Source organism: Homo sapiens, chromosome 5 (genome assembly GCF_000001405.40).
Source record: "Homo sapiens chromosome 5, GRCh38.p14 Primary Assembly".
NCBI classification, from domain to species: domain Eukaryota; kingdom Metazoa; phylum Chordata; class Mammalia; order Primates; family Hominidae; genus Homo; species Homo sapiens.
In genome coordinates this window covers 99539695-99555058 of record NC_000005.10, presented here as the reverse complement: position 1 = coordinate 99555058, position 15364 = coordinate 99539695, and the positions used below count along the sequence as shown (strand labels likewise).

The 15364-nt window shown below is 33.3% G+C and overlaps 1 long non-coding RNA gene across 1 annotated transcript in view; it reads right to left on the bottom strand.

Moving 5' to 3' along the window:
- The window catches only part of LINC02113 (long intergenic non-protein coding RNA 2113), a 43965-nt gene that overhangs the window by 22896 nt on the left and 5705 nt on the right, over positions 1-15364 (bottom strand). The window contains exon 3 of the long non-coding RNA NR_110562.1: positions 5527-5646. This is a non-coding gene — a long non-coding RNA (long intergenic non-protein coding RNA 2113). The remainder of the gene's footprint in view (positions 1-5526; positions 5647-15364) is intronic.

Below are 15364 nucleotides of genomic sequence, written 5' to 3'. Positions count from 1 at the left end.
AAGGAAAATATCACACAAGATAAATTTTCAAAGACCACAGCAATTCTGGATTTTTAAGGAGTTTCTCTGACAAAGAAACTATGCAGATAATACATACTATCTGAAACATAGATGGTGAGAATTCCTAAGACATCCAAAAGACCTAGTTTACTATCATAAAAATTCATCTGTTATGAAAGTGCCACAATTTATCTCTGAAGCGTATGGAACAATTAAAAAGTGATAGGAGTCTATTAGTCTGTTTATTCTAGGAGAATACCCTTTATATTGTTTAAACCCGTTGTCACGTATAAAATATGAACAACCAGTCTTTGTCCTCAAAATAATCCATTTTGAAAACCATAGATAATCGTTTGCTCCCTTGGTTATATATTTCCTATATTATATAATTCTGAATCAATAATCTACAATAAAAACCTTTTAAATCATTCCACTTATTGTCACTATTTCTCTAAATACCTTTTTAAACATGAGAGCAATAAAGAACTATAAAATTGTAACATAATATGAAAAATATTATTTTAGAATAAAAAATAACGAGAGGTCATTTAAACTTGACCAGTATGCTATGCATTGATACCACCAAAAAAATCATTAGTAAGTAATCTCGCTTATGCATGAATTGCTTAATTAAGGGTTATGTATTTTTTTCAATTCAAAATAAACCAAATGTCCTTTTTTCGTGTTGGTTCCTAGATCTTGCATTTCCTCGCTTTTCCACATGATAGCCCTCTACTTTTTTGAAGAGTTGTCATGTTTTCTCTGAAGATTTCTTCTTCGGGCTAAATCTCAAACAATTTTCTAATATAAACAAAGTTTTAAATTTTCTCAATATTATAGTGGCCCTCTTTTGAAAAAATATGCATTGCAAAAATTCTCTTCTTTTTAGTATATCCACTCTCACCTCCAAGACTAGAAAATTGTTCATACTTACAATTGGTTATTGAGCCCAAATGTGGAATTTCACATGAATTACAATTTTGTATTTTGAGAAGTTTTAAATTCTTTACCCTTGTTAGCACAAATAAATATTGCTGAGCAGAGAGGTGAGTGGGTAAAAGAGTTAAAAAAATTGTTTCCATGACCACCTCAGAATAAAGTCCAGCTGGCTTCTCTTCATATTTGCAAATCTCCATAAAGAGAAGAGTATTTAAAATTGTCCATTGTGGAATTCTGCTTTATAATGGAAATATCAAAATTTGTATTACAAATACACCTTTTTGTTTTAATCGGGATTATTTTTCTCCATTTAGACCTCTCATTCTTTACTCACTCCTTAGATCACTGGCATCAATTCAGGTATCTCATCTCTACATTGTAATAATCCTGTAGGAATGTAATTTGCCCAAGTCAGAGTATTTAAATCCATGTGTCTTTTTCTAAGGGCTCTGTATTCTTCTTAGGACTCAAGTCTTGCCAAATACCATTTGTTCTCTCCTTTACAGCTTTATGAGTTTCCTTATAGACAGAATAGTCAGAAATTAAATGGGAGCTGAGGAATTAATTATGTTTTCTCTGTCATTTCCTTTTGTTACAGCATTTATCTCAAACTCTGGGCAGATTAATTTCTCATGTTGTGGCTTTCCAGGAGAGTAGCTCATTCTAAACTTCAGCTTTCCAGTCAATTTTCTAATGTTAATGACAATGATCTATCTTGTAACTGAGACTCCCCGTCTTTTTCCATATCCATTTAAATTGCTCAACATTGGTCTGATGCTATTGTAGTACTGTCACCAATAGCAGAAATACATTTATATTCTCTCTAGTTTATTATCATATTGCAATTTTATTTCTCTTTCTCTCTATCTTATTTCAACTCAAACAGTTTTCAGTGTTTCTCCAAACCATTTTTTTTCTGAAAAGTGACATCTCTTCTAAAAACTCAGTTTTATTTAGCACAGTATTCTTCTTCATTTCTTTATTTCTGCTTTTCTATCTTCCATATATCAGGCTTTATTTCTTAATTTACCTGCTTTCAACCTGTGTCTTATTCAGTATGTATCTTCGGTTTTGGCAAATGTGTACATTCTGTGGCAAATAAATTACATCAATTGATGTAATATTTAATTCATTTAATAATCTGTATGTCACATTAACCGTGCATAAGGATCTTACTATATCAGAGGAATAAAATGAAAATTACAAAACTCTGGACCTCCATTTTCTACTAAAAGAAGACATAGAATTTGAATAGTTGTATTATATATGCTGCTGTCTGTTAAAAGAATATTTCCCTTTTACTCGAGACTGTATTCTTAATCATCTGACCTGCCTCATTTTTAGCATATACTTCTAGAATTATTTCTTTCTCAAATTGAGTTTGATGACCAACTTTTGTGGCCTGATAGCACCCATATATAAAATAGCTGAGCGACTTATCATGAAATATCATAATGTCTGGCTTGTTTATCACTCTTAGGACCTGTGGCTTCCTTCAATATACATATACATCTCTATATTTATAATGCTTAGAGTACAGATACTCATTACATAGCTTTTGAATGTCCAAATGATTATATACTATAATAAAGGTTTAAAATACATACCATTGGGAAGATGGATTATATCCTTTGCACAATATCTTATTTGCCTTTTATTAAAATTCTTCATTTACTTGATGATTATTTTATTCTTTTATATAAAATTTAAGAAATATTCTCTGCATTTTGTGGAATTGAAATTTGTGAATTACTTATATTTTTCTTCTTAGATTTATAGCATATACTAGCTGAATTAATCCTGAGAGATTTGGAATATTATTGCATTATTCTACCCAATTGTGATTTAAATTATATGCTTATGTTTAAAACTGTGTGTCCCACACCCAATTAAATTGTCTCTGTTGATTAGATATTATCATGACTGTCAGTTAAAGATGAATGGAGATCTCATATTAATATCATCATATCAATTTCAATTTTAAATAAGACCTTTGAATGATTCTCATACAAACACCAGACTTATATTACTCTATCCTGAATTGTATAAATGTTTCTCTAATATTTTAAAGCCCACTAATAGCATCGTTAAGTTGCTAGCTCTGAGTTAACTTGTCACTATGCATTTTTATAAATGCCTCTTGTGGGATGTTCTTTGGTAATTTTGTCAATGAAGGTCCTGAAGGTACCTGAGTAGAGGCTCCCAAACAACATGAGGGGCCACATAGTAATCTATCTGTAGAGATTAAGAACAAAATGCTGCTCAGATGAACAAATTGTGTTTCTCATTATGGTGAATATAAATATGAGGAATACATTTTCATTCCCAAGATTTAATTTTATCCACTTAATGTAAGTAATAAGTGAAGTAAGATAACACCGATTTATGCTAAAACTCAGTCATACACTCCAATGTTTAAAAAAAATTAAAATTAAAAGATCTGATGATTTGTATCTGTTCTCTTCAAAAATCTGTAGTTACATTCCTAAGTATTATCATCTGTGAAATGAAGTATCTGGATATACTAAGGCTGTGACTGAATTCACCTGGATTCTGTCTTATTACATTTGAAATCAATACTTGAGAATCTTTGTAAAGAAAAGTAACTCAGGCCCTTGCTAAAGTGACTTTTATGGGCTGAAAGGGTTCAGAGGCACTAGATGAATACAGATCTCCACCATTTGATTTAATTGTTGGTTACACGGACTTTTCTCTTTCCATCGCCAGCCCTTTAAGAAAGTCAATAGGATTTTAAGAGAGAGACTGCAGGAGAGTTAAATTACACATTAGATTAAGAAGAAGAGATAATGCAAATAGATTGCTTACATGTCTAATTTCTTATCAAGCTCTAAACACACAATGTTCTATCTAGCAGTAATAGGAGATCAAGTTTGAGGATAATTGAGCATATTCTGCTGCCAAAAGAAATGATCCATTAATGGGATAATGTGCCACAGAACGTGTTCCTGTCTTGAGATTTTCACAAATATAAGAGACACAATAAATTTAGGTAACTATCCTACACTATCTTTTAATTTAAAACACACACAAAGTCGGAGATCATTACTGCTCCTGCCCCACTGCCTAGAAGATAGTAGTAATAATGATACTTCTACTGCTACTATAATAATGTATACTATGATAATAATTTTTATAATAATATAATAAATGTATACTATAAATGACTTATGTGTTTCATCTCATTTTCTTTATTGCAGAATCACATGAAGGTATATTTTTAGCTTATGATGTTTTTCTTGATAAACTTCTAAGCACAATAATTGTTTATTCATTTAGGTAAAAAATTTCAACAATCTCCTATTAGGTTCTACTTTTTAAGTTTGTGGAATAATATTGATAACTTCCTTCATTTTTTCCATTTATAATAAAGTATATTTTAAGATATTAACACAACTTGGGGAGAAGAGAATATCTTAATTAATATTACAATTTTATCAACATATACTCATAAACATTATATTATGTCCTATAACTGCTAGCCAGTTCTCACTGAACATTCCTGATTCTCTTCCTTTCTTAAATATTTCATTTGTGCTAATTTCCCTTCAATCTTACAGCTGACATATATATCAAAAATCTCTTTGGATAAAAAGATAAAGTTTTAATTGAACTTTATGAAAAGTAGTATCCTATTTTCTTTATGCTAAAGGGATATAATCACATTTTCAACTATGTCACACAGCAAATAATGAAGACATTAACCCACTATATAATTTACTTTGGAAATATTTTTAAATGTCTGCAAATAAGAATAAAAGTGATTCTCAAATATATTTTTGATTGAATTGTAGATAGCTGCCAATGTTTGATAACTTTGACTTACAAAAATGTCACATTTTGTTTATTTAATTTCATACACACATTTACATTTGTGAGAAATGCTGAACTTGATGTTTCCCATTAGTGTAAGAAACCCTAGTAATTATAATTTAAAGTTTATTTCTTTTTCTATTTTTCAAAAAGTGTAATGTTACCTTTGCCATGAGAAATATACCATATGTCCTCCCTTTGCTGTTTTCCATCTTTCAAATGGAAAATTCAGCTGTTTAAAGACAACTCTCATAGAGCATTTTCAGAAAATTTTCAGGTAGCTTGGCACAGAGAAAGGGAGTTGGTATCTGGAGCCAAGAAGAGGCAGTTTAGGATACCTACTCAGCCCTTGTGTGACCTTGGTCCTCCTCATTTTGACCTCTCTGAATCTCATTTTCATTCTTTGTTAAGAGGACACTAGAACCTTCCTCTAGAATTAAAACATGTAAACAGTATACAATGCCTAGTCCTGTGCCCAGGACAGTGTACACACTCCGTGCCACTGACCAAATTTGTAAGCACTGAATGTGTCTTTGGTGTAGGCCATGCCCTCTATTCATACGTTTTGTTTTTGTAAACTAGAAATGCTTTGGATATGGCTTTCTAGACTGCATTTTTTACAACACAACCTGTCTTGCATTCTCCAAGCTAGCATTTTTTGTTTTGTTTTTGTTTAATTACTTCTGTTCAGAGCAATGAATATAGAAAAAAGAAAGACCAAAGTAGCAGCATTACAACAAACAAAATGCACCTTACATTGCAAATGCAGACCCTGAGATCAGTGAGGGCGAGCCACACTGGCTTCAGACTTCTGAGTGGGTGGATCTGAAATTCTTTTGTGCTGCAGTTTTGCGGGGACACTTATTCTTTCCCAGTCTAAAGCCATAAACCAGAAAGACTATTGTTAATGAAAACATTTTTCAACCACCTTATTACCCCTACTACAACTCATGGCTAATAATATTGAGTGATCATCATATGTTAATTGCTATATTAAAACATTATCCCATTTAATCATCACAACAACTTTATGAGTTAATTATATCATTATCATTTTAAAGCTGAAGAAATGAAAGCTAAGAGACTTTAAATTAGTGATAGTGTCATACTTTCAACTTAGGATTGTTCCATGTCAGAGCAACAGGCTCTTAGTCATTATACTATACTCACACACTTATTACAATTGAAATTTGGATTATGTATGAGAGATATTTCTCTTTCAGTGAAGCTGTGAAATTTATCAGAAGAGACCAGTTTTTGTTTAGTTTTGTTTATTCCTTTAGAACTGGTTCTAAAAATAAATGTATGCAGGAATCAGATTTTCATATTCCAAAAAAAAGAATTAATTTGAATGCTGCTTAGAAAGGAAAATGTAAGACAATATAGCTGTTGAAACTTATCCTATTTATTTAAAAATAATTTTATTAAACATATGAAGAGATAAGTTAGGCTGAACATGAATGAAAATAGTTTAATTTTGTTTTTATTTTGTTCTCCCAGATAGATTTCTGTAAAACAGCTACTGCTGAAGCAAATATCCATAGTCTACCATAGCAGCTAAGCTGCTTTGTAACTCTTCATATTACAAAATCTTTGGAATCTATAGTTTTAAAAAAATCAGTCTATGTTATTTACTTTTAGTAGGGATCATACCAGGATGATTATTTGAATTTAGCAGATGTCTCCCATTAGAAACACACACATACACACACACACACACACACACACACACATATATATACACACATATATATACATATATGTGTGTGTGTGTGTGTGTGTGTATATATATATATAGATAGATATATGTATGTATGTATTTGGTTATCCTAGGAATTAATTGGAATGTATGACTCTGTGCCTCTGGGTTTTTTGAACAACCAGGGTTAAAGGGATATTAGGTTATTGCCAAGTTTGATATGGTAGTGAACACAGAGTCTTCTTTCCCTATGCTAACTCTTGGTTCCTTTGCAAGGGACTCTTGGAGAAGTTCTAGGCCAGTGCCCTCATTGTCCTCAACACCTGTGAGTCAGTCTTGAGAGGGAAGGTAATATGCTACTGTGCTAACTAAAAATAAGTAAAGTACAGTGTGAAGAGACAGCGATCCAGCTTGGCTCTGTCATTTGTTAGCTGTATTTCCTCAGTTTCTTCATCTGTAAAGTTCTAATAGCATCTGCATAATAGGAGTATTGTGGGAAGAAAGAGATAAGAAAGGTGACAACATTTATTAAATAGGTAGTGCATGCTGAGTATTCACTTTTACATGGATTTTTTTTTCATTTTCATAATCTCAACATTCAATAAGTATTATAGTTACCCATTTGGGTTTTATTTTTTTTTAGGTTCAGGAGTACATGTGCAGGTTTTATATATAGGTAAACTTGTGTATTGGGGGTTTGTTGTACAGATTATTTCATCACCCAGGTACTAAGCCTAGTACCCAATAATTTTTTTTCTCCTGTCCCTCCTCTCACCTTTCACCCTCAACTAGGACCCAGTGTCTGTTTTTGCTCTCTTTGTGTCCTTGAGTTCTCATCATTTAGCTCCCACTTATGACAGAACATTTGGTCTTTGGTTTTCTGTTCCTACATTAGTTTTCTAACCCTAATGGCCTCCATTTCCATCTAGGTTCCCACAAAAAACATAATCTCATTCTTTCTTATGGCTACATAGTATTCCATAGTGTATATGTACCACATTTTCTGTATCCAATCTGTCATTGATGGGCATTTAGGTTGATTCCATGTCTCTGCTATTGTGAACAGTGCTGCAATGAACATTCACGTCCATGTGTCACTATGGTTGAATAATTTATATTCCCCTGGGTATGTATACAATAATGGGATAGCTGGGTCAAATGGTAGTTCTGTTATTAGCTATTTGAGGAATCACCACACTGCTTTCCACAATGGTTGACCTAATTTACACTCCCACCAATAGTGTATAAGCATTCCTTTTTCTCTGCAACCTCATCAGCGTCTGTTATTTTTTGACTATTTAATAATAACCATTCTGCATGAAAAAGTCAAAAAAACAGATGCTGGTAACATTGTGGACAAAAATGAACACTTACACACTGTTGGTGGGATAATAAATTAGTTCAACCATTAAGGAAGACAATATGGCAACTCCTCAAAAGACTAAAGATGGAAATATCATTCAATCCAGCAATATCATTACTGGGTATATACAAAAAGGAATAGAAATCATTGAATTATAAAAACGCATCTACATGTATGTTCATTGCAGCACTATTCACAATAGCAATGACATGGAATCAACCTACCTGCCCATCAATGATAGTCTGGATAAAGCAATAGTGTCACATATACACCATGAATACTACACAGCCATACAAAGAATGACATAATTTGTGTGTGTGTGTGTGTGTAAACATGAATAGAGCTGGATGCCATCATCCTTAGCAAACTGATGCAGGAACAGAAAACCACATGTTCTCACTTATAAGTGGGAGCTAAATGATGAGAACACATGTACACATAGAGGGGAACAAATATACTGGAGCCTATTAGGGGGTGGAGAGTGGGAGGAGGGAGAGAATCAGGAAAAATAACTAATGAGTACTAGGCTTAATACCTGGGTGATGAAATTATCTGTATAACAAAAACACACCATAATGCAAGTTTACCTATGTAACAAACCTTCACAGTTACCCCTGAACTTAAAATAAAAGTTTAAAAATAGCCATTTTGACTGTGTGAGATGGGATCTCATGGTGATTTTGATATGCATTTATCCAGTGATAAGTGATATTAAGCTTTTTTTCATATGCTTGTTGGTCGCATGTATGTCTTCTTTTGAAAAGTGTTTGTTCATGTCCATTGCCCACATTTTAGAGGGTTCTTTGTATTTTCTGGTAAATTTAAGTTCCTTATAGATACTGGATATTAGACCTTTGTCAAATGCAGTTTGCAAATATTTTTCCCATTCTGTAGGTTGTCTGTATACTATTTCTACTGAAACTATTCGAAACGATTAAGGAGGAAGATCTCTTCCCTAACTCATTTTATGAGACCAGAATCATCCTGATACCAAAACCTGGTAGAAACATAACTAAAAAGAAAACTTGTAGACAATATTCTTGATGAACATTGATGAAAAAATCCTCAATAAAATACTTGCAAACTGAATCCAGCAGCATATCAAAATCTAACTCACCATGATCAAATAGGCTTCATTGCCAGCATGCAAGGCTGGTTCAACATACACAAATCAAGCAATGTAATTCATCACATAAATGGAACTAAAGACAGAAACCATATTATTATCTCAATAGATGCAGAAAAAAAAACTTTTGATAAAATTCAACACCCCTTTATGTTACAAATTCTCAATAACTAGGTATTGAAGAAACATGTCTCAAAACAATAAGAGCCATCTATGACAAACCAACAGTCAACATCATACTGAATGGAAAAAAAACTAGAAACATTCGTTTTGAAAACTGGCACAAGACAATTATGCCCTTTCTCACTACTCCTATTCAAGCATAATATTGGAAGTCCTGGCCAGAGCAATCTGTTGAGAGAAAGAAGTAAAGGACATTCAGACAGGAAGAGAGGAGTTGAAACTATCCCTGTTTGTAGATATGAATCTATACCTAGAAAACCACAGAGTCTTGACCCCAAAGCTCCTTCAGCTGATATACAACTTCAGCAAAGTTTCAGGAGGCAAAATCAATGTACAAAAATTACTACCATTTCTATATACCAAAACAGCCAAGCTAAGAGCCAAATCAAGAACACAATCCCATTCACAATTGCCACGAAAAGAATAAAATACCTAGGAATACAGCTAACCAGAGAGGTGAAAGATCTCTACAATGAGAATGATAAAACACTGCTCAAAGAAATCAGAGATGACACAAACAAATGGAAATACCATCCATGTTCATGGACAGAAAGAATTAATATAATTATAATGGCTGTACTGCCCAAAGTAATTTACAGATTTAATGCTACTCCTATCAACTACCAATGGCATTCTTCGCAGAATTAGAAAAAAAACTATTTTAAATTTCATATGCAGCCCCCAAAAAGCCTTAATAGCCAAGGCAATGCTGAGCAAAACTAACAAAGCTGGAGTCATCACATTATCCTAACTATACTACAGGGCAACTGTAATGAAAACAGCATGGTACTGGTACAAAAACAGACACATAGACCAATAGAACAGAATAGAGAGGCCTGAAATAAGATCTCACACCTCTGACCTCCTGATCTTTGACAAGGCTGACCAAAACAAGCAGTGGTGAAAGGACTCCTAATTCAATAAATGGTGCTAGGAGAACTAGCTTGCCATATGCAGAAGATTGAAACTGGACCCTTTTCTTATACCATATACAAAAATCAGCTCAAGATGGATTAAAATCTTAAATGCAAAACCTAAAACTATAAAAACCCTGGAAGACAACCTATGCAATACCATTCTGGACATAGGCACAGGCAAAGATTTCATGATGAAGATGCCAAAAACAAACACAACAAAGGCACAAATTGGCAAATGGGATATAATTAAACTCAAGAGCTTCTGTACAGCAAAAGAAATTATCAACAGGATGACCCATTTTTATAAACAAAGAAGGTGAAGACCAGAGACAATGAGTCATTTGCTCATGGTCACTTGGTTAGGGAGTAGCAGAGGTAGAATTTAAATCCATGTATTTGAGACACTGAAGACTATCTTCCTCATCACTACTCCGGCCAATGTGTAGCACAGGGGAGGATTTATATGTCACAGTTACTGTTTAACACTGACAACAAAGGCTGCTTTACTCATGGAGGAGAAATGATAATATTATCTTTGTTAACAGAAAAGAGCCTGAAGTCTCTATCAGAGCTTGAACCAATTACAGAAACCACTGGATTACTTGCCTGACAGGTTATGGCTCAGGGAAAACAGTTTAAATGCATAATTTTAGGACACTAGCTATCTAAATCTCCACGTAATTTGTTTACAGTAATCACTTTAAATTTTAATTTAATTAGTTTGTTAAGCTTTAATATAAAAATCAGATCTTCTAGGGCGTCTGCTTATTATTTAAAAACAAAACACAACAGTTTATTCATATTTGTAAGTGGCTGACACCAGGAACAATTCTGCCCTTTTAGCCCTGTACATATCTGTTACCGTAAGAGGTTCAGGCTCTCATTCCATCTCCCATCTTCATTTGGCTCTGAACAATCTGTTTTCTGACCACACTCTCACATTCCCTAAATTCTGGAATGCCGCCGAGTGCCTCCTAGAACTTATGAAATGTCATCAGTTTAAAAAAAGAAAAGGTTTTGGCTCTTCCTTGAGGTGATGCATTATTTCTCCTGCAGCCTCCTTATGGCGTGTATTTTTGTTATTATTATCATTATTGTTTGTTTGATTTTATCTGCCCACATACCTCAAACCTCTGGGATGGCAGTAGATAAAATAATCTTTAAATTCCTTATTGATATTTCAAAGCCATTTTCTCTCAAAAACAAAAACAAAACCACTCAGCTTTGAATCACATGCCATCAACTATATATTTACTAAATATCCACTTTAGAATCACTCTCCTGTAGAGTTCTTGGATCACCATCACTCTCCAACACTAGTGCTGCTATAAATCTTGGCACTTTTAAAGTCCTGGCTGAACATAGCTTATTCTTTCTCTGGTTTCTCAGATCCTCCAGTGATTTTTGACTTCTATCCTACTTTAGCCATTCATTCTCATGATCATAATCCTACCATAGGTTTTCTACTCTGATTGTAAATTTGAGTCATCTGTGGAGCAGCTAAAAATATGAAACCTCAGGACCCATACTGGGGTTTTGTGACCTGCTTTAATTTGTTATAATTCACAAAAAATCAAGAATCTCTGTGATTCACATTATCAATTATTGTTATTATTGTAATCTCAAACTCAAGAATCCAATTATTTAAAAAGTACCACTTTATTCTAGCCTAGTTCCTCTAATGCTTCAGATTGAGAAATCTTTTGACTTTTATCAGAATCTGCCATAATACTGCTGAGGTTGTTGTATCTCACACATTAAAATCTTCACTTTCTAACAGCTACAACTCCATGACATGATTAAAATCACTCTTTTCCGTTTACCCTCATTCCATGTCACTGTCTGGCACAATCTCAATTCTGGTTAATTCTATATCCTTTCTACTTGAATAAACCTCCCAAACAGAACCTATCTGAAGAAAATTACAGTTGGTCTCATTTAAAATTTATAACCACTAACCTAGGCTCTATAACATCAAGAATCTCTTTTGTTTACTGTTATATCACAAGTGCCTACAGGAGCATTTAGAATTCAGAAGAGGCACAATAAACATTTGTTGAATAAATATGTAAGTGCTGAATTGTTGTCTAGTGTAGTCCAGCAAAATTATTATATTTCTATTGCTTCATTTCCTAGTCTAGTATTTCTTATCTTATTCTTTTCTTAGAAAACACCAATAATATCTCTCCATTCTAACTCTCAGTTAATGATTTTTCTTATTATATTTCTGAAAAAAATAGGACAACTGCAAGAGAACATAAGAACTACTTCTACTCACTTACATGCTGCTAATCCCATATGCTCAGCCTTTCTTTCCTCTTGTTACTAAGGAGTCTAACTCCTTGATTATACACTGGATTCCATCCCTTTCTCAGACATTCCTCAATATTTATCTGGATCACCTATTTTTTAAATCTCTACTGAATCAAACCAGCCAGCAATACCACATGTAATTTATTTGAAACAAATTTCCCTTGACCTTCTATTCGTTCTACAGACCAACTACATTATTCTGCGCTTTTAAATCACACTCCTTTGAAAGAGACTTTTAGTCTCCAATTTCTATTCTTCCATTCTCTCTTGAATATTGCACAAACAAAATTTTTCCCTGCTATTTTACTGCAACTGCTGTCGGCGATGTACCCAATAACCTCCATTTGCTAAATGCTTGATAAATTCTCAAAATTTGCTATATATCGGCAGAATTTGATAGCGTTGATTACTGTTTTATCACTGATATACTTTATTTACTTGACTTCTAGGACACTATACTCTCTGGTTTTTCTTTTCTGCCACTGGTTATCTTCACAATTCCACCACTAATTCTTTCTCCCTTTCAAGTAGACATAGAAATCCCAGAGTATCAGTCTGCATAATTACCTTGGTGATTTCACACCAGCATGTGGCATACATATCATCTATATGGTGATAGCTTTTGGAATTATATATTCAGCCTAAATATCCCCCATGAGCTTCTATATCCAGCTGCCTGATCAGCATTTCCACATAACCATAGAGCAGTATCTCAAAATTCAAAGGTCTGAATCAAAGTCCTGATCTTTCCCTTAACCAAGCCTGTTTCACTTAAAATATTCCCCATTTCAATAAGTGGCATCTCTGTATTTTCAAGTTCTTAGTTTAAAACGTTTGTGTCATTCTAGATTCTTCTACATGTAATCCAGTCAAATCTTTCAGCAAATCCTGTTGACCCCACATTCTGAAAACTCCTCTCCATCCTCATTGATCTCATTATAGTGAACTATTCTTACTTTTATTGTTGCACTAGCCTTCTTTTAAGCCTATGTGTACATATTATCTGTCTATATATATATATATATTTTAAAATACATATATTTTAAAATATATATATATATCTTTAAAAAAATTCACGTATTTTTTTCTGTTTACTCACTTGTTAGAAGGCTTACCAAGACATAAATTATTTTTCTGTTTTGTCTGTTTTCACTGCGTTATTCCCAGCAACTAAAAGGGTATGTGATGCACCAAAAGTGTTCAGTCTTTTCAGTGAAATAGTGAACCAAGAGATTAGTTTTATTTTCCTGCAAGATTCATTATGTGAAAACTTAAAACCTAAGAAAGAGTTTGAAAGTTTACTAATATGAGAAGACACAGGGATGTTTTAGACTACTCTAAAAATTCACAAGTATGAAATGCTGGGTATTAAGTTGATAGATTGTTGTTAATAATTGATATGTCAAAAAATTCAGTACTGAAATTTGAGAAATTCCTGAGTAGACTAAGGCATATCTTCCTTTTTAGTTCAGAAATGAAATGACAGTTAAAAATAATACACTACCAACTATACAGAAAGATGGAATTAATATTTAAATTTTTAAAAATGAAATAAGCACAAAACTCCATTTTAAACAATGAATAAAACATAATAAAAACTTTTTACATGTCTGCAATATATGTAAAAACGTTTCTATAACCTTATACAAAAGCCTTTAAAAGTGATTTTGCACAATAGCAACACTAAGCAAAAAATTTGAGTGAAAAATGCATATGAAAAAGAATTCAAGATGATCAATACACACATGAAAAGTTATTTAACCTCACTAGTAACCAGAGTAAGTTTACATGGTTCTCTGTATTATATTGAGAGTGATTGAAAATACAGACAATGCTCAGTTTTAAGAGAGGAATTAGCCTGTGAAAAAGCCCTGATAAGATAAAGTTTAACATGCTCAAGGCATGAAAGACAGCCAGTGTTTCTGGAATACAATAAATGAAAGAGAAAACTTGAGCCATTGTAGACTACAGGAAAGAGGCAGATTTATTTCGAAGTGAAATGGGGATATTCTTAAAGTTGTATGCAGGTAAATGATAGACTTTGTTTAAATTTTTGAAAGATGATTGTGGCTATTGTGTGAGGATTATATGAGAGCAACAGAAGTGTGGCAGCTCATTAGGTGGTGTCAACGTTATTCTATGTGAAAGATCATGACGTTCTGAACCATATGATATCTGTGAATATGGAAGAGAAGAATAGAAAAACCTTTGGGAGGCCTAATTTTCAGATCTGGCTGCTCGGTTGATATAAAGAATGAGGGGTGAAGAAAGAACAAGCATATGCCAAGAAAATGTTTTATAAATGACAGAGCTGGGATTTCTGCTTGGCTCTGTCTAATTTAATGTCCCATGTACTTTTACAGTGGTAGATATATTGGGAAGTGAAAGAAATTTAAACCAGTATTCTTCATTTAATCAGGTCCCTACAAATGATTAGGGTGTTGTCATGGGCACAAACTTCTGTAAAAGGTGTAAAAGTTCACTGTCTTTCCTCTCAGACTCCTCTTTCTTTCCAGTTCTCCTTATGTTAGTTGTGGCCAAGACAGTTTTAATTCCCCTGAGTTTAAATAAACTTTAGACAGGCTTCCTCACTAACCTTCCAATCTCACTTTTCTTGTAGCAATGACTTAAAAAAAAAATTGTCATTGTAAATTTTTTCCCAACCCATTTGAGATGTAAATCTTTTTAAAAGACTGCCAGTTTTACAACCCAGGAATGATTTTTTTCTTAAGGGCCTGGGAGCCATCTCTTTGAAATGTCATCATCAAGGAAGATAGACATGCCTATCTCTCATTCTCTGTGGCAGGGAAACTAACTTTGGTGGACACTTTGCTTCAGGTTGTGAAACTACTTTCTGTCGTGAAGAAATTAGAAAGTTTGCTTTTCTTTTAGGTCAGGACAATTAGCAAACACAGATGGCGTATGTTCTTTCCCACCTCAGCTCTTAAAAACTCTCCTGCCCTTTTGTTTCAAGGGAATTGAGTTCAGACTAC